At 37.9% G+C, this 25,522-nt stretch overlaps 1 protein-coding gene across 5 annotated transcripts in view; it reads left to right on the plus strand.

Moving 5' to 3' along the window:
- The window catches only part of PAGE2B (PAGE family member 2B), a 50,793-nt gene extending 29,053 nt beyond the window's left edge, over positions 1-21,740 (plus strand). For 2 of the 5 annotated variants that reach the window (XM_011530785.3, XM_011530786.4), the window contains 4 exons: positions 18,865-18,956; positions 19,400-19,508; positions 20,230-20,355; positions 21,613-21,740. In XM_011530785.3, the coding sequence (XP_011529087.1) occupies positions 18,865-18,956; positions 19,400-19,508; positions 20,230-20,355; positions 21,613-21,629 (344 nt within the window). In that variant the 3' untranslated portion in view covers positions 21,630-21,740. Of the gene's footprint in view, positions 1-17,860; positions 18,088-18,850; positions 18,957-19,399; positions 19,509-20,229; positions 20,356-21,612 lie in introns of those variants that run through there. The other 3 variants (XM_017029513.2, XM_011530787.3, NM_001015038.3) reach the window with 3 other exon arrangements.
- Positions 21,741-25,522: the final 3,782 nt, after the last annotated feature.

Here is a 25,522-nt window from a genome sequence, read left to right on the forward strand (position 1 = left end):
GTATAACATTTTCTGGCCCTTCCTCCCCCGTTTTGTGTTTTTCCTTTTCTCTCCTCTCATGACCAGAAGTCTAGACAGGAAGCAGAGGTCGGTTACCAGGGAAACTGAAGCTGAGTATGCTTGATTCACGAGCTTGTGAGATAAAAGCAAAATTGCTACTCAAAATGCAAGACTGTATGGAGGATGGGTATTAACCAAATAAGCAAAGATTTATTCATCCTTATAATTATTGTACATAGATATATAAATCCACAAAGATGAATAGCTTTTCCTAAATGTTTAGTTGAGAATCAGTCTATGGAATGGCCTTGAATCCTGCCCCTGCCGCCTTCCATTCTCACTGCTGGCCCCATGCTGTCAGTCTCCCAACATGCCTTATGTCTGAGTATGATGGAGTCCTAATGATATTGCCTCTGTACGTGGCTCTGTCAGTTACAGGGAAAGAAACTAAGGGAAAAAGGAAGCATCAATTCACCTAGCTTTAAAAGCAACAGAGAGATAAACCTCAACCATCAAAATCTTTCCCTAGAATTCCACCTAAAAATCCCAGCAAATCTAACCAAAGTACTGGTCTTTCAATGTCTAATTAATATGTATTTGTTTTGGGTCCAGTATCAAAGAGTTCTACGAAAATGCAATTAGAATACATCACCATTCCTTATACGCTGCTGCCCCTAGTGTAACACATGTGGATTGCACTCTCTTGACAGTTGTAGCCAGTTATTCCATTTCACTGCTGTATGACGGGTTTTAGACTTGTATCTGTATTTTTTAAGATATGCAGTTGAATATTTCTGTTAATCTTTTTGATTATAGAGAAATGAAGCAGATAGCCTACCACTGGCCATAATATTTTTCTGATGGGAAAATACATTCTGCTCTGTGGCAACTGCTTTCTGATGCAGTCTCTATTGTTGCATTTTAATAAAAATCATCCTCTGCTTGTATACTCCCATATGATTTCAGAATATTTATGCTGATGTCAACTCGGTTGTAATAATTGATCTCCACTGAGACCTTAGAAGTTAATGTGAACCTGCATTTAAAGTTTAATTAGGGAGTAAAAAGTGTCGGGGGGTGTTCATATCTGTCTGTACTCTCTTCTACAACTGGAAAACTTTCCCTAAAAAACAAAAAACTTGTATTTGAGTAGTGGTGTGTGTGTGTGTGTGTTTGTAGATGGGGCATAAAGGTAGAGTGATAAGAATTGACAAGCACCAATATTTATTGAGCACTACTAGGTGTGATATAATTTGCATTATTTTATCTGAGTATTACATACAAGCAATAAGTTGGGTTTTGGTGCAGTCATTGAACCTTTCACCTGCCATTTTTTAAATTGTATGAGGCTAATTCCTTGTGGATAGCAGGGTGAACAGAAATGTTATTGGTACTGAGATCTTTCTGTCACTTTTAGTTGCCATAGCCCTTTGTAGTTTAGAGAAACTTCTGATAAGGAAATTAATTCTCACAGGCTAGGCTTGCTTTCCATGCAATACTTCGTTTAACCCTTCCTACAAACACTTTGATGTAGATACTATTACTATCTTGAATTTACAGTTGAGGTACTTGGAGATGAGAAGAGCCCAAACCCAGGTCTTCCTGTTTCTGAAGACTGTGTTTTTCTGCCTCCCTTATGTAGTAAAACCGGAGAACAGTCTGGAGTGTTAGTCTTCGAAAATTTTATTGATGCTATGCACAAACATTTCCTGAAACACCAGGGAGACCCTGACATATCTCAATTCTTCCTCAAAAAGGACCATTATATATATATAAATTAACTGCCCTCCACCCACTAATTGAGCACTCATTTCTCCATTCAGTCCTCTCTTCACAAAAAAAAAGGAGAAATATTGAATGCCTTCAGGATTGAGAAGCTAAATCTGATGAAATTAGCGTGGGACATTAGCATGGTATATTAGTTTGCTAGTGCTGCAATAACAAAATACCACAGAATGGGTGACTTAAACAACAGACATTCATTTTCTCACAGTTCTGGAGGCTGGAAGTCCAAGATCGAGGTATATATAGGCTTAGTTTCTTCTGAGGTCTCTCTCTCTTTGGCTTTCAGATAGTCACCTTCTCACTGTGTCCTTACATAGTCTTTCTTCTGTACCTATGCACCCCTGCTGTTTCTCTGTGCATACAAATTTCCTCTTCTTATAAAAGCATCAGTTAGATTGGATTAGGGCCACCTAAAGGTTTCGTTTTTACTTAATCACATCTTTATAGGCTTGATATCCAATTACAGTCATATTCTGGAGTAATAGAAGTTAGAGCTTCTCAAGTAGCACTTCAATTAATTAATTAGCTAATTAATTTTTAATTGAAAAATACAAATTATATATATATGAGGTGTAACTTGATGTTTTGACATATGTGTACAATGTGGAATGATTAAATCAAGCTAACTAATGTATCCATTGCCTCATATAATATCTATTGCAGTAAGAACATTTAAAATCTACTTCTTTAGCAATTTCAAGTATATGATACATTATAATTTGCTATAATCAGTCACCATACTGTACAATAGAGCTCTATAACTTATTTCTCCTTCCTAACTGAAACTTTGAACCCTTTGACCAACATTTCCCCATTTCCTACAACCTCCTGCCAACCCCTGGTAACCACCATTCTACTCTCAGTTTCTATCAATTAGATTTTTTTAGAGTCCACATATAAATGAGATCATGCAGCATTTGCCTTTCTGTGTCTGGTTTACTTCGCTTAGCATAATGTCCTCCAGGTTTATGTGGATTGTTGCAAATGAAAGGATTTTCTTCCTTCTTAAAGCTGAATAGTATTCCATTGTGTGTGCCCGTCTCTGTGTGTGTATACTCCACATTTTCCCTATCTATTGATTCATTGATGGACACTTAGGCTGATTCCATATCTTGGCTATTGTGAATAATACTGCAATGAACATGGAAGTGCAGGTATGTCTTTGACATAGTGACTTTACTTCCTTTGGGTATATAGCTAAAAGTGAAATGGCTGAATCATACAATAACTCTATTTTTAATTTTTTGAGGAATCTCCTTACCGTTTTTCATAATAGCTGAACTGGTTTACATTCCCACTAATAGTGCTCAATATCCCCCCAACACTTGTTATCTTTTGTTTTTTAATGATGGTAGATATTCTAATGGGTGTGAGGTGATATATCATTGTGGCTTTAATTTGTGTTTCTCTGATGATTAGTGATATTGAGCACATTTTTATGTAACTGTCAGCAATTTGGATGTCTCCTTTGGAAAAATATCTATTCAGGTCCTTTGCCCATTTTTAAATCAGGTTATTTATTTTCTTGCTATTGAGTTGTCTGATTTCCTTATATATTTTGGATATTAACCCGTTATCAGATATGTAGTTTGCAAATATTTTCTCTCATTGTGCAGGTTGCATCTTCACTCGATTGTTTCTTTTTCCATGCAAAAGCTTTTTACTTTGATGCAATCCATTTGTCTATTTTTGCTTTTGTTGCCTATGCTTTTGGGGTAATATCCCAAAAATCTTTGCCAGGACAGATGCTAATAAGCTTTCCTCTATGTTTTCTTTCAGTACTTTTACAGTTTTAGGTCTTATATTTAAGTCATTAATCCATTTTGAGTTGATCTCTGGTTTTTTTTGTGTGTATTTTTTTTGTTTTAGTAAATTATATTTTCAGTAAGTTTTCAATAACCAAATTGAAAAGTGTGTCTATTTATTCCTGACTAGGCTAAGACATGTAGAAATATATCACTACTGTTCAACTGTTGGGAGTAGGGAGGCAATGAACACAAGGAAACTCAGACAGAAAAAGAAATGTAAATTAACATCTCAAAATATTATATTATTACTTTAAAATTATTTAGTAAATCACATGGTCTTCTTATTTGAAAGAGAGGAACTGTGGGATGGTAAGGGTGTACAGAGGGTAGCTGCTAGTGAAAGTCCAGTGGGCTCCAAATATTCTATAAAATCACAATATAATGTATAAGAGAAAGAAGAATAAAGGAATGAGCTACTTTATTTTCATATGATTTCTTTTAAAATAGTGATTTGTAACACCTGTTTCTCTTTTCTTATTCTTTGCAACTTCTATTTCAGGTTCAAGGGGTACATTTGTAGGTTTGTTACATGGGTAAGTTATGCGTCGTAGGGGTTGGCGTACAGATAATTTTGTCACCCAGGTAATCAGCATAGTACCTGATAGGTAGTTTTTCAATCCTCACCCTCCTCCTGCTCTCTACTCTCAAACAGACCCTAGTGTCCATTGTTCTTTTTAAATATTTTTTATTTTTAATTTTGTGAGTATATAGTAGGTATATGTATTTGTGGGTTACATGAGATATTTCGTTACAGGCATGCAAAGTGTAATAATCACATCAGGGTAAATGGGGTATCCATCACTTCAAGCATTTATCCTTTGTGTTACAAACAATCTAATTATACTCTTTTAGTTATTTTAAAATGTATGATTAAATTATTATTGACTGTAGTCACCCTGTTGTGCTAGCAAATATTAGGTCTTATTCATTCTTTCTAACTATATTTTTGCGCCCATTAACCATCCCCAGTTCCCTGCCACTTCACCACTACACTTCTTAGCCTCTGGTTACCACCCTTCTACTCTATCTCCATGAGTTCAATTATTTTAATTTTTAGCTGTCACAAATAAGTGAGACCATGTGAAGTTTGTCTTTCTGTAACTGGCTTATTTCACTTAACATAATGACCTCCAGTTCCATCCATGTTGCTGCAAATGACTGGATCTCATTCGTTTTATGGCTGAATAGTACTCCATTGTGTATAAGTACCACGTTTTCCTTATCCATTCATATGTTGATGGACACTTAGGTTGCTTCCAAATCTTGGATATTGAGAATAGTGCTGCTGTAAACATGGGAATGCACATATCTCTTCGTTATCCTGATTTTCTTTCTTTTGGGTATATACCTGGGAATAGGATTGTTGGATCGTATGGTAGCTCTATTTTTAGTTTTCTTGAGGAACCTCCAAACTGTTCTCCATAATGGTTGTACTAATTTACATAGCCACCAACAGTGCAGGGGAGTTCCCTTTTCTCCACATCCTCACTAGCATTTATCATTGCCTGACTTTCAGGTAAAAGCCATTTTAACTGGGTTGAGAAGATATCTCATTGTAGCTTTAATATGCATTTCTCTGATGATCAATTATATTGAGCATCTTTTCATATACCTGTTTGCTATTTGTATGTCTTCTTTTGAGAAATGTCCATTCAGGTCTTTTGCCCATTTTTAAATGAGACGATTAGATTTATTTCCTATAGAGTTCTTTGAGCTCCTTATGTATTCTGATTATTAATTCCTTGTCAGATGGGTAAGTTGCAAATGTTTGTCCCATTATGTGGGTTGCCGCTTCACTTTGTTGATTGTTTCCTTTGCTGTGCAGAAGCTTTTAAACTTGATGTAATTCAATTTGTCCATTTTTGCTTTGGTTGCCTGTGCTTGTGGGATATTGCTCACGAAATCTTTGTGCAGTCCAGTGTCCTAGAGAGGTTCCCCAATGTTTTCCTTTGGTGGTTTCATAGTCTGAGGTCTTATAATTTAAGTCTTTAATACATTTTGATTTGATTTTTGTATATGGTGAGAGATAGGGGTGTAGTTTCATTCTTTTGCATGTGGATATCCAGTTTTCACAGCACTATGTATTAAAGAGACTGTCCTTTCACTAGTGTATGTTCTTGAGAACTTAGTCAAAAGTGAGTTTGCTGTAGATGTGTGAATTTATCTCTGGGTTTTCTATACTGTTCCATTGGTCTGTGTGTCTGTTTTTATGCCAGTACTGTGTTGTTTTGGTTACTATAGCTCTGTAGTGTAATTTAAAGTCAGGTAATATGATTCTTCCATGTTTGTTCTTTTTGCTCAGTATAGCTTTGGCTATTCTGTGTCTTTTGTGGTTCCATATAAATTTTAGAGTTTTTTTCTATTTATATGAAGAATATCATTGGTATTTTGATAGGGATTGCATCAAATCTGTAGATTGTTTTGGGTAGTATGGACATTTAAAAATATTGATTTTCCCAATCCATTAACATTTAATTTCTTGCATCAATGTTTTATAGTTTTTATTGTAGAGATCTTTTACTTCTTTGGTTAAGCAAATTCCTAGTATTGTATTTTGTGTATATTGTAAATGGGATTACTTTTTAAAATTTCTTTTTCTGATTGTTCGCTGTTAGCATATAGAAATGCTACTGATTTTTGTATGTTGATTTTGTATCCTGAAATTTTCCTGAATTTGTTTATCAGTTTATTAGTTTTCTCGTGGAGCCTTTAGGTTTTTCCAAACATAAAATCACATCTCTGCAAACAAGGATGATTCGACTCCTTCCTTCCCCTTTTAGAGGTCCTTTATTTCTCTCTTGTCTGATTGCTCTAGGTAGGACTTCCAGTACTATGTTGAATAACAGTGGTGAAAATGAGAATCCTTGTTCCAGTTCTTAGAGGAAAGGATTTCAGTTTTTCCCCATTCAATATGATACTAGCTATGGACCTGTTGTATATAGTTTTATTATCTTGTGATATGTTCCTTCTATATCCAGTTTTTTGAGGGTTTTTATCATGAAGGGATGTTGAATTTTACCAAATGCTTTTTCAGCATCAATTGAAATGATCATATGGTTTTCGGCCTTCATTCTGTTGATATGATTTATCACATTAATTGATTTGTATATGTTGAACCATCCTTGCATCCCTGGGTTAAATCCCACTTGGTCATGATGAATGACTTTTTTTTAATGTGTTGTTGAATTTGGTTTGCTAATATTTTGTTGAGGATTTTTATATCAATATTCATCAGTGATATTGGCCTATAGTTTCCTTTTTGTGATGTGTCTTTGTCTGGTTTTGGTATCAGGGTAATATTGTCCTTGTAGAATGAGTTTAGAAGTATTCTCTCCTCCTCTATTTTTTGGAATAGTTTGAGTAGGTTTAGTGTTAGTTCTTCTTTAACAGCTTGGTAGAATTCAGCAGTGTAGCCATTGGATCCTGAGTTTCCTTTGCTGGGAGACTTTTCATTATGGATCTCCTTCCTTGTTATTGGTTTGTTCAGGTTTTGGATTTCTTCATGGTTCAATCTTGGCAGAATGAATGTGTCTAGGAATTTTTCCATTTCTTCTAGATTTTCCAAAATATTGGCATATAGTTGCTCATAGTATTCACTAATGATCCATTGAATTTCTGTAGTATCAGTTGTAATGTCTCCCTTTTCGTCTCTGATTTTACTTATTTGGGTCTTGTCTCTTTTTTTGTTAGTCTGGCTAAAGGTTTGTCCATTTTGTTTATCTCTTCAAAAACCAACTTTCTGTTTCATTGATCTTTTGTATATTTTCTTCATTTTAAATTCATTTATTTCTACTCTGATCTTTATTATTTCTTTTCTTCTAATTTTTGGTTAGGTTTACTCTTGCTTTTCTAGTACTTTTGGATGCAATGTTGGTTTTTTTTTTATTCGATGTATTTGTTGTTTTTTGATATAGGCACTTACAGTTATAAACTTCCCTCTTGGTACTTCTTTTGCTGTATGCCATAGGTTTTGGTGTGCTGTGTTTACATTATCATTTGTTTCAAGACATTTATCAATTTTCTTCTTAATTTCTTCATTGACCCACTGGTCATTCAGAAGCATATTGTTTGATTTCCATGTACTTCTATAGTTTCCAAAGTTCCTGTTGCTATTGATTTCTAGTTTTATTCCATTTTGGTCAGAGAAGATGCTTGATATTATTTCAATTTTTTGCGTGTTTGAAGACTTCTTTTGTGGCCTAACATATGGTCTATCCTTGAGAATGATCCATGCGCTAAGGAAAAAAAATGTGTATTCTGAAGCTGTTGGATAAAATGTTCTGTAAATATCTGTTAGGTCCACTTGGTCCATAGTGCAGATTAAAGCTGATGTATCTTTGCTGATTTTCTGTCCAGGAGATCTGTCCAATGCTGAAAATAGGGTGTTGAAGTTTCCAGCTATTATTGTATTGTGGTCTATCTCTTTCTTTAGCGCTAACAATATTTGCTTTATATATCTGGGTGCTCCTGTGTTGGGTGCATATATATTTATAATTGCTATATCCTATTGCTTAATTGACTCCTTTAGCATTATATAGTGACCTTCTTTGTCTCTTCTCATAGTCTTTGTCTTGAAATGTATTTTGTATGATATTAAGATAGCTACTCCTGCTCTTTTTTGGTTTCCATTGGCATAGAATATCTTTTCCCATCCCATTATTTTCACTTTACGTGTGTCTTTATAGGTAAAGTGGGCACCAGATCATTGGGTCTTGTTTTTTCATTCTTTCAACCACTCTGTGCCTTTTGATTAGAAAGTTTGGTTCATTTACATTCAATGTTATTATTGATAAGTAAGATCTTACTCCTGCCATTTTGTTTTTGGTTTTCTGGTTGTTTTGTGTGTCTTCTCTTTCTTCTTTTGTACCTTCCTGTTTTCCTCTTAGTGAAGGTGATTTTCTGTGGTGGTATGCTTTAATTTTTCCTTTTTATTTTTTGTGTATCCATTATATGTTTTTCAATTTGAGGCTATCATGAGGTTTGCAAATACTATCTTATAACAATTATTTTAAACTGTTGACAACTTACCACTGATTGCATAAAAAACCCAACAAACATGTACAAGGAAAACTAATAAACAATGTACACTTTAACTTCATCCCATCACTTTGTAACTCTTTGTAGTTTATCTTTATTTTACTGTTTCTGTTTTGAAAAGTTGGTGGAGTTATTATTTTTGATTGGTTTATCATTTAGTCTTTCTACTGAAGATAAGAGTAGTTTACACACCACAACTACAGTGTTACATTTTGTGTTTTTCTGTATGCTTATTACCAGTGAGTTTTGTACCTTCAGATGATTTCTTTTTTCTTTCTTTCTTTCTCTTCTTTTTTCTTTTTCTTTTTGAGACAGAGTTTCACTCTTGTTGCCCAGGCTGGAGTGCAATGGCATGATCTCGGCTCACTGCAACCTCCACCTCCCAGATTCAAGCAATTGTCCTGCCTCAGCCTCCCAAGTATCTGGGATTACAGGCGTGTGCCATCACGTGCAGCTAATTTTTGTATTTTTAGTAAAGACAGAGTTCCACCTTGTTGGTCAGGCTGGTCTCAAACTCCTGACCTCAGGTGATCCACCCACCTCGGCCTCCCAAAGTGCTGGGATTACAGGTGTGAGCCACCATGCCCAGCCTCAGATGATTTCTTATTGCTGATTAACATCCTTTTCTTTCATATTGAAGAATGCCCTTTAGGATTTCTTGTAGGACATGTCTGGAGTTGATGAAATCCCTCAGCGTTTGTTTGTCTGGGAAGGTCTTTCTCATTCATGCTTGAATAATATTTTCACCAGATATACTCTTCTAGGATAAAAAATTTTTTTCCTTCAGCGCTTTAAATATATCATGCCACTCTATCCTGGCCTGTAAGGTTTCCTCTGAAAGGTCTGCTGCCAGATGTATTGGAGCTCCATTGTGTGTTATTTGTTTCTTTTCTCTTGCTGCTTTTAAGACTTGTTATTTTTCCTTGACCTTTGGAAGTTTGATTATTAAATGCCTTGAGGTACTCTTCTTTGGGTTAAATCTGCTTGGTGTTCTATAACCTTCTTGTACTTGAATGTTGATATCTTTCTCTAGGTTTGGGAAGTTCTTTGATATTATCCCTTTTAATATGCTTTTCATATTTATCACTTTCTTTGCCTCGTCTTTAAGGTCAATAACTCTTAGATTTGCTCTTTTGAGACTATTTTCTAAATCTTTTAGGCATGCTTAAAATTTTTTTTGCCTCCTCTGATGGTGTATTTTCAAATAACCTATTTTCAAGCTGACTAATTCTTTCTTTCTTTTTTTTAGGTTCTATTATGCTTTGTTTTTATTATACTTTAAGTTCTGGGGTATGTGTGCAGAATATGTATGTTTGTTACATAGGTATACACGTGCCATGGTGGTTTGCTGTACCCATCAACCCGTCATCTACATTAGGTATTTCTCCTAATGCTATCACTCCCCTAGCCCCCCACCCCTGACAGGCCCCGGTGTGTGATGTTCCCCTCCCTGTGTCCATGTGTTCTCATTGTTCAACTCCCACTTATAAGTGAGAACATGCAGTGTTTGTTTGTGTCCTTGTGTTAGTTTGCTGAGAATGATGGTTTTCAGCATCATCAATGTCCCTGGAAAGGACATGAACTCATCCTTTTTTATGGCAGCATAGTATTCCATGGTGTACATGTGCCACATTTTCTTTATCCAGTCTATCACTGATGGGAATTTGGGCTAGTTCCAAGTCTTTGCTATTGTGAACAGTGCTGCAATAAACATACGTGTGCATGTGTCTTTATAGTAGAATGATTTATAATCCTTTGGGTATATACCCAGTAATGAGATTGCTGGGTCAAATGGTACTTCTAGCTCTAGAACCTTGAGGAATCACCACACTGTCTTCCACAGTGGTTGAACTAATTTACATTCCCACCAACAGTGTAAAAGCATTCCTATTTCTCCACATCCTCTCCAGCATCTGTTGTTTCTTGAGTTTTTAATGATCACCATGCTAACTGGCATGAAATGGTATCTCATTGTGGTTTTGATTTGCATTTCTAATGACCAGTGATGATGAACTTCTTTTCATACGTTTGTTGGCTGCATAAATGTCTTCTTTTGAGAAGTGTCTGATCATATCCTTCGCTCACTTTTGGGTGGGTTTGTTTGTTTCTTTTTTCCTTATAAATCTGTTTAAGTTCTCTGTAGATTCTGGATATTAGCCCTTTGTCAGATGGATAGATTGCAAAATTTTTCTCCCATTCTGTAGGTTGCCTGTTCACTCTGATGACAGTTTCTTTTGCTGTGCAGAAGCTCTTTAGTTTAATCAGATTCCATTTGTCTATTTTGGCTTTTGTTGCCATTGCTTTTGATGTTTTAGTCATGAAGTCTTTGCCCATGCCAATGTCCTGAATGGTATTGCCTAGGCTTTCTTCTAGGGTTTTTATGGTTTTAGATCTTACGTTTAAGTCTTTAATCCATCTTGAGTTGTATAAGATGTAAGGAAGGGATCCAGTTTCAGCGGCTAGCCAGTTTTCCAAACACCATTTATTAAATAGGGAATCCTTTCCCCATTGCTTGTTTTTGTCAGGTTTGCCAAAGATCAGTTGGTTGTAGATATGTGGCATTATTTCTGAGGCCTCTGTTCTGTTGCATTGGTCTATATATCTGTTTTGGTACCAGTACCATGCTGTTTTTGTTACTGTACCTTGTAGTACAGTTTGAAGTCAGGTAGCATGATGTCTCCAGCTTTGTTCTTTCTGCTTAGGATTGTCTTGGCTATGAGGGCTCTTTTTTGGTTCCATACGAAATTTAAAGTAGTTTTTTCCAATTCTGTGAAGAAAGTCAGTGGTAGCTTGATCGGGATAGCATTAAATCTATAAATTACTTTGGGCAGTATGGCCATTTTGACAATATTGATTCTTCCTATCCATGAACATGGAATGTTTTTCCATTTGTTTGTGTCCTCTCTTATTTCATTGAGCAGTGGTTTGTAGTTCTCCTTGAAGAGGTACTTCACATCCCTTGTAAGTTGGATTCCTAGGTATTTTATTCTCTTAGTAGCAATTGTGAATGGGAATTCACTCATGATTTGGCTCTCTGTTTGTCTGTTATTGGTGTATAGGAATGCTTGTGATTTTTGCACATTGATTTTATATCCTGAGACTTTGCTGAAGTTGCTTATCAGCTTAAGGAGATTTGGGGCTGAGATGATGGAGTTTTCTAAATGTCCAATCATGTCATCTGCAAAGAGAGATAATTTGACTTCCTCTTTTCCTACCTGCATACACTTTATTTCTCTCTCTTACCTGATTGCCCTGGCCAGAACTTCCAATGCTATGTTGAATAGGAGTGATGGGAGAGGGCATCCTTGTCTTGTGCCAGTTTTCAAAGGGAATGCTTCCAGTTTTTGCCCATTCAGTATGATATTGGCTGTAGGTTTGCCATGAACACCTGTTATTATTTTGAGATACCTTCCTTCTATGCCTAGTTTATTGAGAGTTTTTAGCATGCAGGGCTGTTGAATTTTGTCAAAGACCTTTTCTGCATCTACTGAGATAATCATGTGGTTTTTGTCATTGCTTCTGTTTATGTGATGGATTACGTTTATTGATTTGCATATGTTGAACCAGCCTTGCATCCCAGGGATGAAGCCAACTTGATCGTGCTGGATGAGCTTTTTGATGTGCTGCTGGATTCAGTTTGCCAGCATTTTATTGAGGATTTTTGGATCAATGTTCATCAAGGATATTGATCTAAAATTCTCTCTCTTTTTTTTTTGTTTCTCTGCCAGGCTTTGGTATCAGGATGATGCTGGCCTCATAAAATGAGTTAGGAAGGATACCCTCTTTTTCTATTATTTGGAGTAGTTTCAGAAGGAATGGTACCAGCTCCTCTTTGTACCTCTGGTAGAATTCGGCTGTGAATCCATCTGGTCCTGGACTTTTTTGGTTGGTAGGCTATTAATTGCTGCCTCAATTTCAGAGCCTGTTATTGGTCTATTCAGGGATTCTACCTCTTCCTGGTTTAGTCTTGGGAGGGTGTATGTGTCCAGGAATTTATCCATTTCTTCTAGATTTTCTAGTTTATTTGCGTAGAGGTGTTTATAGTATTCACTGATGGTAGTTTGTATTTCTGTGGGATCGGTGGTGATATCCCCTTTGTCATTTTTTATTGCATCTATTTGATTCTTCTCTCTTTTCTTCTTTATCAGTCTGGCTGGTGGTCTATATATTTTATTGATTTTTTCAAGAAGCCAGCTCAGGATTTATTTTTTTAAGGGTTTTTCGTGTTTGTATCTCCTTCAGTTCTGCTCTGATCTTAGTTATTTCTGTCTTCTGCTAGCTTTTGAATGTGTTTGCTCTTGCTTCTCTAGTTCTTTTAATTGTGATGTTAGGATGTTGATTTTAGATGTTTCCTGCTTTCTCTTGTGGGCAATTACTGCTATAAATTTCCCTCTACACACTGCTTTAAATGTGTCCCAGTAATCTGGTATGTTGTGTCTCTGTTCTCATTGGTTTCAAAGAACATTTTTATTTCTGCCTTCATTTCGTTATGTACCCAGTAGTCATTCAGGAGCAGCTTGTTCAGTTTCCATGTAGTTGTGAGGTTTTGAGTGAGTTTCTTAATCCTGAGTTCTAATTTGATTGCACTGTGGTCTGAGAGACTGTTTGTTATATCTGTTCTTTTGCATTTGCTGAGGAGTGTTTTACTTCCAATTATGTGGTCAATTTTAGAATAAGTGTGATGTGGTGCTGAGAAGAATGTATATTCTGTTGATTTGGGGTGGAGAGTTCTGTAGATGTCTGTTAGGTCTGCTTGGTCCAGAGCTGAGTTAAAGTCCTGGATATCCTTGTTAATTTTCTGTCTCCTTGATCTGTCCAATATTGACAGTGGGGTGTTAAAGTCTCCCATTATTATTGTGTGGGAGTCTAAGTCTCTTTGTAGGTCTCTAAGAACTTGCTTTATGGATCTGGGTGCTTCTGTATTGGGTGCATATATATTTAGAATAGTTAGCTTTTCTTGTTGCATTGATCCCTTTACCATTATGTAATGCCCTTCTTTGTCTCTTTTGATCTTTGTTGGTTTGAAGTCTGTTTTATCAGAGACTAGGATTGCAACCCCTGCCTTTTTTTGCTCTCCATTTGCTTGGTAAATATTCCTCCATCCCTTTATTTTGAGCCTATGTGTGTCTTTGCACGTGAGATGGGTCTCCTGAACACAGCACACTGATGGGTCTTGACTCTTTATCCAATTTGCCAGTCTGTGTCTTTTAATTGTGGCATTTAGCCCATTTACATTTAAGGTCAATATTGTTATATGTGCATTTGATCCTGCCATTATTATGCTAGCTAGTTATTTTGCCAATTAGTTTATGCAGTTTCTTCATAGCGTTGTTGGTCTTTACGATTAGTTTTTTTTGTTTGTTTGTTTTTTTTGCAGTAGCTGGTACCGGTTGTTCCTTTCCATGTTTAGTGCTTCCTTCAGGAGCTCTTTTAGGGAAGGCCTGGTGGTGACAAAATCTCTCGGCATTTGCTTGTCTGTAAAGGATTTCGTTTCTCCTTCTCTTATGAGGCTTCGTTTGGCTGGGTATGAAATTCTGGCTTGAAAATTCTTTTCTTTAAGAATGTTGAATATTGGCCCCCACTCTCTTCTGGCTTATAGGGTTTCTGCTGAGAGATCCACTGTTAGTCTGATGGGCTTCCCTTTGTGGGTAACCTGACCTTTCTCTCTGGCTGCCCTTAACATTTTTTCCTGCATTTCAACCTTGGTGAATCTGACCATTGTGTGTCTTGGAGTTGCTCTTCTCGAGGAGTATCTTTGTGGTGTCCTCTGTATTTCCTGAATTTGAATGTTGGCCTGCCTTGCTAGGTTGGGGAAGTTCTCCTGAATATTATCCTGAAGAGTGTTTTCCAACATGATTCCATTCTCCCTGTTACTTTCACGTACAGTGATCAAACATAGATTTGGTCTTTTCACATAGTCTTATACTTCTTGGAGGCCTTGTTCATTTCTTTTCTCTCTTTTTTCTCTAACCTTGTTTTCTCGCTTTATTTCACTGAGTTGATCTTCAATCTCTGATTCAATCACTTCAATCACTTCATCGATTCAGGTATTAATTCTTATGTATGCTTCATGAAGATGTAGTCCTCTGTTTTTCCGCTCCCTCAGGCCATTTTTGTTCTTCCCTAAAATGGGTTCTTCTAGTTCGCAGTTCCTGTAACCTTTTGTCAAGGTTCTTAGCTTCCTTGCATTGGGTTAGAACATGCTCCTTAGCTCAGAAGAGTTTGTTGTTACCCACATTCTGAAGCCTACTTCTGTCAGTTTGTCAACCTCATTCTCTGTCCAGTTTTGTGCCCTTGCTGGAGAGGAGTTGCAATCATTTGGAGGAGAAGAGGCATCATTTGGAGGAGAAGTTGCGATCATTTGGAATTTTCTGGATTTTTGCACTGGTTTTTCCTCATCTTCATGGATTTATCTACCTTTGATCTTAGAGGCTGATGATCTTTGGATGTGGTTTCCGTCTGGGGGTCCTTTTTGTTGATGTTGATGTTATTGCTTTCTGTTTGTTAGTTTTTCTTCTAACAGCCAGGCCCATCTTCTTCAGGTCCACTCCATACCCTGTTCGCCTGGGCATCACCAGTGGATGCTGCAGAACAGCAAAGATTGCTTCCTGCTTCTTCCTCTGGAAGCTTTGTCCCAGAGGGGCACTGGCCTGATGCCAGCCAGGGCTGTCCTGTATGAGGTGTCTGTGGACCCCTGCTGGGAGGTCTCTCCAAGTCAGGAGGCACAGGGGTCAGGGACCCACTTGAGGAGGCAGTCTGTCCCTTACCAGAGCTCAAGCACTGTGCTGGGAGAAACCTCCTTGTCAGGATCTATCCTCTCTTCAGAGACGGCGGGCAGGAACATTTAAGTCCACTGCAGCTGCACCCACAGCCACCTCTTCCCCCAGTTGCTCTATCCCAGGGAGATGGCAGTTTCATCTATATGCCCCTGACTGGGCCTCTGCCTTTCCTTCAGAGATGCCCTGCCCAGTGAGGAGGAATCTAGAGAAGCAATCTGGCCACAGCCACTTTGCCAAGCTGTGATGAGTTTCACCCATTCCGAGCTTCCAGACCTCCTTAACACTGTCAGGGGAAAACCACCTTCTCAAGCCTCAGTAATAGTGGATGCCCCTCCTCCCACCAAGCTCCGATAGTCCCAGGTAGACATCAGACTGCTGGGCTGGCAATGAGAATTTCAAGCCAGTGCTTCTTAGCTTGCTGGGCTCCATAGGACTGGGACCTGATGAGCAAGACCACCTGGTTCCCCGGATTCAGCCCCCTTTCCAGGAGAGTGAACAGTTGTGTCACACCGGGTTCCAGGTGCTACTGGGGTACCAAAAAAACATAAAACTCCTGCAACTAGCTCAGTGTCTGCCCGAACAACTGCCCAGTTTTGTGCTTGAAACCCAGGGCCCTGCTGATGTTGGCACAAGAGGGAATCTCTTGGTCTGCAGATTGCAAAAACTGTGGGAGAAGCGTAGTATCTGGGCCAGATAGCACAGTACCTGACAGCTTCCCTTGGCTGGGGGATGGAGATTCCTAACTCCTTACACTTCACGGGTAGGCGATGCCCCACCCTGCTTTTGCTCACCCTCCATGGGCTGCACCCACTGCCTAACCAGTCCCAATAAGATGAACTGGGTACCTCAGTTGGAAATGCAGAAAGTGCTTGCCTTCTGTGTTGGTCTCGCTGGGAGTTGCAGACCAAAGCTTTTCCTATTACGCCATCTTGCCAGATCCCCGCAACCATCCCATATGAATTTTAAAGTAGTTTTCTTCTAATTCCGTGAAGAATGTCATTGGTAGTTTAATAGCAACATCACTGAATCTATAAATTTCCCTGGTCAGTTTGGCCATTTTGAAAATATTGCTTCTTCCTGTTCACGAGCATGGAATGTTTTTCCATTTGTGTCATCTCTGATTTCTTTGGGCAGTGTTTTGTAGTTCTCATAGTGGAGATTGTTCTCCTCCCTAGTTAGCTGTATTCCTAGGTATTTTATTCTTTTTGTGGCAATTGTGAATGGGATTGTGTTTCTGATTTGGCTCTGTGCTTGAAGGTAGTTGGTGTACAGAAACACTCCTGGTTTTTGTACATTAATTTTGTATCTTGAAGCTTTCCTGAAGTTGTTTATAAGATCAAGGAGCTTTTGGGCAGAGATTCTGGGATTTTCTAGGTATAGAATCACATGGTTTCCAAACAGATTGTTTGACTTGTGTGAAAAACATAGTGGAGTAGAAGCAAACACGTGTCAGCAATGGAATAGAAAAATAAAAGTGCCCATGAATAAATTTAATTTGAATGTGAAGAACTAATATGAAGCAAATAACACAGTCATTGTGTGGGATATGTTAAAAGACTTGAGGAATTGAGGAGTGGCTTTTTTTTGATAGAGAGATTCTAAAATAGGAAGATGGCTATTGTCCCAGAGTTAACATGTAATATAAAAATAATAACTAGTATCTCAACAGGAATATTTTAGCACCTGATCAAATGATTCTGAAGTTCATCTGAAAGACCAACGTGTCAGAATTGATAGAAAAGGAGAAATCAATGAGGGAGGGCAAGCATTATTTCACATTTCAAATATAATTTAAGCTACAGCAATTAAAATAGTGTAGTAGTGGTACAGGTATAAACAACTCAATGGAAGAAAATTAAAAGAAGAGAGTTACATACAAAATTGAGTGGGGATGTAGGTGATGATAAAAGAGCCATTTCAAAACAGTGGGTGCAACAGGGATTCAACAAATAATGTTGAGTTCCTACCACTTTAATTTTGTCCAGATGGATCAAAGATTTTGAACGTACAATAATGCAACCAAAAACTATGAATGTCTTATATTGGAATGGGTTAGACAATTGCAAGCATGACAGCAAACTCGTGAAGGAGGCAAGAAAATGATTTATGGAAGCGTATATAAAACAGATATTAAAATATTTAAGATTTATTTCTATGATGGTGAAGTTTTCTGAAACACATTATTAGAGTAACCTGGGGCTCATATTCTCCAAAGCCACTGGAAGTGAAAGAAAGGGTGGGCGGGGGAAAAAGAAAAGTGCTTTGCAAGTTCATTTTCGTTGTCAGGAGCGCTGGTGGTTTAGGTTCTCCACAGACGCAGGAAAACATCAGTCACGAGGCGAATGTCCCAGTCAGTGTGCATGCTGCACAGACCTGTTGCTGCACTTGTCTGTTGTTACGCATGTCTGTTGCTACACGTGTCTGTTGTTGCGCATGCGCCTTGCTGCCCGCCTTCTGTCCACACACAGCTCTGCAAGGAGAGTGTCTTCATTCTTTCCGCCATCTTGATTCTTTGTCACTGACCGAGACTCAGCCGGTAGGTCCGCAGAGCGGTCTTCCTGGGAATTTAGTTGTGGGTGAATGTGTGGAGGAGCCAGCTGGCTTTGGACAGGTCCTGCGGCACAGTCCGTGGCTTCCGAGGGAAAAGGGCCTCGCGGTCGTCGTCCGGCCCCTCCCAGGTCGGGATGCCACCGTGGGACTTGTCGTCGTGGCTGGGCTGGGACGAGGGACGAGGGAGGAAGGTGGGCCACAGAGGGGAGGGATCGCGTGAAGATGGGGCGAGTGCTGGGGGTGCTGTTAGAGGTGTCTGAGTCTCGAAAACTCCTGGAACCCTCTGAGAGAGGACAGTTTCCAGACTCCTCGGTAGGGACGCGGGAAGAGACCATGTGGTCAGTAAGGAAGGGGCCTGGGAACTGGGAACGCTGTGGGCCGGTGACTGTGGCCCCGAGGTCTGTAGAGTGCCTGGCAGAGGTGTCCCGTGAGGAGCATAACGTTCACTCTGTTTCACAATTTCTCACCTCCGCCATGGACGCCATGGAAGGAATGGGCGAGGCTGTGCTTTCCAACAAGACTTGATTTTGAGAGAGGTGTGGGGGTGAAATGGGCCTAGCAAATCAGAGTGGGACAAAAGCAGTAGTCATTTCAGTTTCAATTCTCTGCCCTTTTTTCCCCCAAATGTCTTCATGATGGAGAGTCTAATTGTGAAACCAAAACGCAGAAATGTCCTCTGTCTTTTGCTATGGCGTTAAGGGGATTTCTATGCCTCTTCGACTATGATACAAACAAATCTGTCCTTAGTTTGATTGGAAAGCGTGGGTACTTATCAATGCTCTGTGAATTACGTTGAAAATATTTTCAAAATTAAAAAAATACAAATCACCATTTTGCCATGGAATGTTCATATATATAGCTAAGTTCTTATACACTTTTTCCAAATAACAGTATTCTATTTTCAGTGGGAAATATGAGTGAGCATGTGAGAACAAGATCCCAATCCTCAGAAAGAGGAAATGACCAAGAGTCTTCCCAGCCAGTTGGATCTGTGATTGTGAGTCCTTTAACATTTGATGTTTCCTATTAACACAATTTATTTTAAGAAATATTTTTGAGCTAGTGTACACGCACTGATACAGGTGTTCCATGCTGATAAAAAATGATGATGGCATCTCATGAAGGAAACGTTGGTTCAGGAATATTATATTCTGGTGTTACCTGTATGGATATGGATATTTCTCTCTCTCTCTCTCTCTATATATATATATGTGTGTGTGTGTGTATATGTATATATGTATATATGTATGTATGTATGTATATATGTATGTGTATATATGTATGTATATACGTATGTATGTATATATACATATATGTATATACATATATATGTGTTTATATATGTTGGAAAAATGTCTTTAGATGTGTGATTCGATGCACATATGCATTTGTGTATTTATATTATTGACTTTTTATTCACACACACACTTACACCCTTAGGTCCAGGAGCCCACTGAGGAAAAACGTCAAGAAGAGGAACCACCAACTGATAATCAGGGTATTGCACCTAGTGGGGAGATCGAAAATGAAGGAGCACCTGCCGTTCAAGGTGAAGGGAGAGTGGAGAATAATGCTTATGGGTGGTGGAGGTCTATTTATGCATTGTATTTTATGACATACCAGTAACAGGAGGACAGAAAGCATTAGGAAGGAATCTTAAACATTTCCTACTGCTGCTGTGTGGAGGGGTGGGACAAGGACGCATAAAAAGCCACTAAGCTTTCCTACCACTTTGACGGAGGCTTTTTATTGATTGGGTATTTTCATGGTTGCCATAAACCTTTTTCCAGAGCTCCTGTATGCTTTGTTCAGCCATTTTCTGTTTTTTGTTGCTGTGGAAGAATGGCAGCTTGCAGCTTCCTAGTCTGCCATCTGTGGACACGTCATGTATTTTTTAAGAAACTTTTTAACACACCTTTATTGATGCTTCCTCATACCACGTAATATACTAAGTGCTGGAGATGTCAGTGCCAAATTTTTGCCTAAAGCTCATAGTCTAGTCAGATTGACTCAAACAAATCGCTGATTTAATGTGATAAGAATAAGAACAAATGAGTACAAAAGGGACAAGTAAGTTGTCTAGGGCCAGCCTTGGGAAAGGAAAGGGCAATGTTTGAACATCTCTGCTTTCCTGTTTTCCTGGCAGCAGATTCCTGAAATAATTAGCCTACAGGTTTTTACTTCATAATGATGAGGGAATAAATATTATCATTTCCTTGTTCATAGTTCATGTTTTAATTTGTAAACTGATGACCTTTTTATCTTTTAAGGGCCTGACATGGAAGCTTTTCAACAGGAACTGGCTCTGCTTAAGATAGAGGATGAGCCTGGAGATGGTCCTGATGTCAGGGAGGGGATTATGCCCACTTTTGATCTCACTAAAGTGCTGGAAGCAGGTTTGTTATTCATTTAAGATGCAAACTATTGTATTTCTATTTTCACAGTATTTTGTGTGACACAGAGGTAAAATTACTGCTACTTTAATATCATACTTCACGTCTGAAGGTTCTTTGAATGTAGTTCAGACCCCAAATGGCTGCCTTACACACTATCAGGGATAGAGGGCCAGGTGTGGTGGCTCATGCTGTTAATTCCAGCACTTTGGGAGGCCGAGACAGAAAGATCACTTGAGGCCAGGACTTCCAGAGATGGAGAAAAATTGGGTCAAAGCTAATTGGATTACGATATGAAAGATATGAAACATGCTAAAACAGTAGATTTCAAGTGTCTTCACAGCTATATGAAGTAATGCATATATTAATTAGCTTGATGTAGCCATTTTACAATGTGTATATATATATATTTAAAACGTCATGTTTTACATGATAAATATATACAATTTTATGTGTCATTTTTAAAGAAAGATGAAAACGTGTTCTGACTTTTAAATGTAAGTCATTTTACCAACAGCCAATAATTTTCAAATATTTTTATAGAGGCCTGTTTTTAACAAATACATAACATGTTTATAATAAGCATCAGTTTATATTGTGATGTTAACTGTGTTGGTAATGGCTTAAAGCTAGCGTGGATATTCAGTTTACTGTATAAACTGAACTGCTTGTAGGCATGTAAAGAGGCAGGAGTACCCGTGAAAATAGTGACAAATGTTCGCCCTACTTAAAGCAACTACATGATGGCTACACTAGTCCAAAGTAACGTTTTTACACTTTTTCACAAGAGAGACAAAACAAATGTAATACTGACTTTTCTATTTCCTTCACTTAGGCCGTTCTAAGCATATTCTATATTCAGAGTGTCATTTCATATCAGACTATTTAAATGATACTTTAAAATATCTTTTTCCCTTAGGATTTTATTTCGTTGAATTTTCATTTAAAGTATATGTGTTTTTTTTTTTTTTGCTTTCCACTTATACATACAAAATACACTTGATTTAATTCATTCTGAACTTGAACAGTCTCTTCGTTTCCTTATTCTACTAGAAAAAGTGGCATGAATTAAAAATATTGTTAATATGCCTGGAAGTCTACCTTCAGAGTTTATTCAGAGGCTAACTGGCTGTAAGCTAAAGGGTCACTCACCCTCAGGGTTCTGATATTAGTTCATCAACACGGTAGTTGTATACCTCTAGTGTCATATGAATAAAAATCTGCTGAGTAACGGGCCCTAATTTAATATTTATTTTATAGGTGATGCGCAACCATAGGTTTCAAGCAAGACAAATGAAGACTGAAACCAAGAACGTTATTCTTAATCTGGAAATTTGACTGATAATATTCTCTTAATAAAGTTTTAAGTTTTCTGCAAAGAATCCTTACACAGTTTTGTTAAATTTATTTCTGGATCTTTAATACTCTTGAGAATTGTATCTTTTTTGAAAGTTTAAATCCTGTATTTGAGATGGTACATAGAGATAAAATGTTGGTACATTGATTTTCTATCATAGATAGATAGGAACCTGGACGCTTTCATAGGGGGATGCCAACAGCTGCACAGATGGAAAAGGCCACCTGGGGCCAGGCATGTCCACCATGGGCTTTCCACCTCCTCGTTTTTAGCACATGCACAGTAAGAATGAAATGAGCAACATGGAGTAGCTCAGGCTGAGGACCCGCCTGCATAATAAAAGATTAGGTTGGGGGCTGCCAGAGATTCACACCCTATGCAGATGGTACACCTGGTCCTAACCGGTTGTTTGTACCCTATGTAGGTGATCAGATACTACCTCCCCACTAGCTCATCTATAAAAACCCCTGCCTTTCACTGCTGGATGGCAACCGTTTTTTCTGGGACCCCTCTCTGTAGTAGAAAGCTGTTCTCTTTGTTTCTCCTATTAACTTTCTGCTCTACACCTCACTCTTGGTGTGCCCATGTCCTTGATTTCCTTGGCTGTGAGACCAAGAACCCTGGATGTTACCCCGGACAGCGAGGCCACTTCAATACTAGCTGTGGGTCTGTGGTATATGGCTTTTATTACATTGAAGTATGTTCCTTCTTTCCCCGGTGTTTTGAGGGTTTGTATCATGATGAAATATTGAGTTTTATTAAATGCTTTTCAGCATCGATCGAAATGACTATATGGTTTGTATCCTTCATTCTGTTGATAATGATTTATCACATACATTAATTTGCATATGTTGAACCATCCTTCCATCCCGGGGATAAATCTCACTTGGTCATGATGATGATTCTTTATAGCGTATTGTTGAATTTGATTTGCTGGTATTCTGTTGAGGATTTCTGCATCAATATTCATCAGCGGTTTTGCCCTGTAGTTTTCTTTTTCTGATGTGTCTTTGTCTGGTTTTGGTATCAGGGTAATACTGGCCTCATAGAATTAGTTTGGAAGTATTCCCTCCTCCTCTATTTTTCAAAATAGTTTGAGTAGGATTGGTATTAGTCCTTCTTTAAATGTTGGGTAGAATTCAGTAGTGAAGCCATCAGGTCTGGCGTTTCTTTACTTGAAGACTTTTATTATGGCTTTGATCTTGTTGCTTGTTACTGGTCTGTTCAGTTTATGGATTTCTTCCTGGTTCAATCTTGGGAGGTTGTATGTATTTAGGAATTAGTCCATTTTTTTCTAGATTTTCCAATTTATAGGCATGGAGTTTCTCATAGGAGCCAGTTATGATCCTTTGAATTTTTGCAGCATCAGTTTTGTAATGTGTCCTTTTTTATTTCTTTTTCTTTTTTCTTCTTTTTTTTTTCTCGAGACAGTCTCCTTTTATCGCCAGACTGGAATGCAATGGCACAGTCTCAGCTCACTAGAACCTCCACCTCCAGGGTTCAAGCAATTCTCTTGCCTCAGCCACCCTAGTAGCTGGGATTACAGGCGCCTACCACCACACGTGGTTAATTTTTTGTATTTTTAGTAGAGTTGGAGTTTTGCCATGTTGGCCAGGTTGGTCTTGAGGTCCTGGCCTCAAGTGATCCACCTGCCTCAGCCTCTCAAATCCTTTTTCATTTCTGATTTTATTTATTTGGGTTTCTCTCTTTTTTTCTTAGTTTGGCTAATGGTTTGTCAATTTTGGTTAACTTATTAAAAAAACAACTTTTTGTGTTACTGCTCTTTTGTAGGGGTTTTTCATTTCAATTTCGTTTATTTCTGCTGGGATCTTTATTATTTCTTCTAATTTTTGGTTTGGTTTGCTCTTTCTTTGCAGCTCTTTAAGATGCATCATTAGATTGTTTAGTTGAAATTTTTACCTGTTTTGTTGTAGGCACTTATAGCTATAAACCTCTTTCCGAGTACTGCTTTTGCTGTATCCCATCGTTTTGGTATGTTGTGTCTCCATTATCATTTGTTTCAACAACTTTTTAAATTTCCTTCTTAGCTTCTTCATTGACCCATTATTCATTCAGGAGCAGATTATTCAGTTTTCATGTATTTGTATAGTTTCCAAAATTCCTCTTGTTATTAATTTCTAGTTTTATGGCATTGTGGTCTGACAAGATCCATGATATTATTTCAGGTTTTTTTTTTTAATGTTTTGAGACCTAACACATGGTCTTGTCCTTAAGAATGATCCACGTGCTGAGGAAAAGAACGTGTATTCTGTAGTCGTTGGATGAAATGTTCTGTAAATATCTATTAGATCCATGTGTGTGTAGTGCAGATTAACTCTATTTTTGTTGTTGTTGTTGTTGTTGAGTTTCTGTCTGGCAGATCTGTCCAATACTGAATGTGGGTTGCTGAAGTCTCCATCTATTATTTTATTGGGGGCTATCTCTCTCTTTAGCTCTTATAGAATTTGTTTTATATATCTGCGTGCTCAAGTGTTGGGTGCATATATATTTAAAATTGTTAATATCCTTTGGATGAATTGACCCCTTTATTATTGTATAGTGACCTTTAGTCTCTTCTCAAAGATTTTGTTTTGAAATCTATTTTTTTCTTATTCTTTTTGTATCTTTTAAGTTCAGGCATACATGTGGTGCAGGTTTGTTATACAGGTGAACTTGTGTCATGGGGGTTTGTTGTACAGATTATTTTGTCGCCCAGGTATTAAGCCTGGTACTCATGAGCTATTTTTTCCTGATCCTCTCCCTCCTCCCATCCTCCACTCTTTGGTGGGCCCCAGTGTCTGTTGTTCTCCTCTGTGTGTTTATTTTTTCCCATTTATAGCTTCCACTTATAAGTGAGAACATGCAGTATTTAGTTTTCTGTTCATGCATTACTTTGCTAAGTATAATGACCTCCAGCTCCATCCATGTTCTGGCCACGGAGATAATGTCATTTCGTTTTTATGGCTGCATCCTATTCCATGGTATATATGTACTCCATTTTCTTTATCCAGTCTACCATCGATGGGCTTTTTGGTTGATTCCATATCTTTGGTATTGTGAATAGTGCTGCAGTGAACATATGCGTACATGGGTCTTTATGACAGAACAGTTTATATCCCTTTGGCTGTATACCCAGTAATGGGATTGCTTGGATGGAATGGTAGTTTTGCTTTTAGGTCTCTGGGGAATCAGCACACTGTTTCCTACAATGGTTGAACTAATTTAAGTTCTACCAACAGTGAATAAGTGTTTTTCTCCACAATGTCACCAGCATCTGTTATTTTGTTCTATTTTAGTTTTTTTACTTTTTAATAATAGCCATTCTGACTGGTGTGAGATGATATGTCATTGTGATTTGAATTGCACTTCTCCAATGATCAGTGGCTTTGAAAGCTAGTTTTGTATTTTGTTGGTTTAAAGTCTGTTTTATCAGAGACTAGGATTGCAACTCCAGCTTTTTTTTTTCTGCTTTTCATTTACTTGGTCAGTATTCCTCCATCCCTTTATTTTGAGCCTGTGTGTCCTTTGCACGTGTGATGGGTCTTCTGTATCTGTCACACCGATGGGTCTTGACTTTTTATCCAATGTACCAGTCTGTGTGTTTTAATTGGGGCGTTTCTCCCATTTACATTTAAGATTAATATTGTTATGTGTGAATTTGATTCTGTCATCATGATGCTAGCTGGTTATTTTGCACATTAGTTGATGCAGTATCTTCATAGTGTTGTTTGTCTTCATTTTTTTGTTTGTTTTTGCAGTGGCTGGTACTGCTTTCTCCTTTTCATATTTAGTGCTTTCTTCAGGAGCTCTTGT

Source organism: Homo sapiens, chromosome X (assembly GCF_000001405.40).
Source record: "Homo sapiens chromosome X, GRCh38.p14 Primary Assembly".
Taxonomy (NCBI): domain Eukaryota; kingdom Metazoa; phylum Chordata; class Mammalia; order Primates; family Hominidae; genus Homo; species Homo sapiens.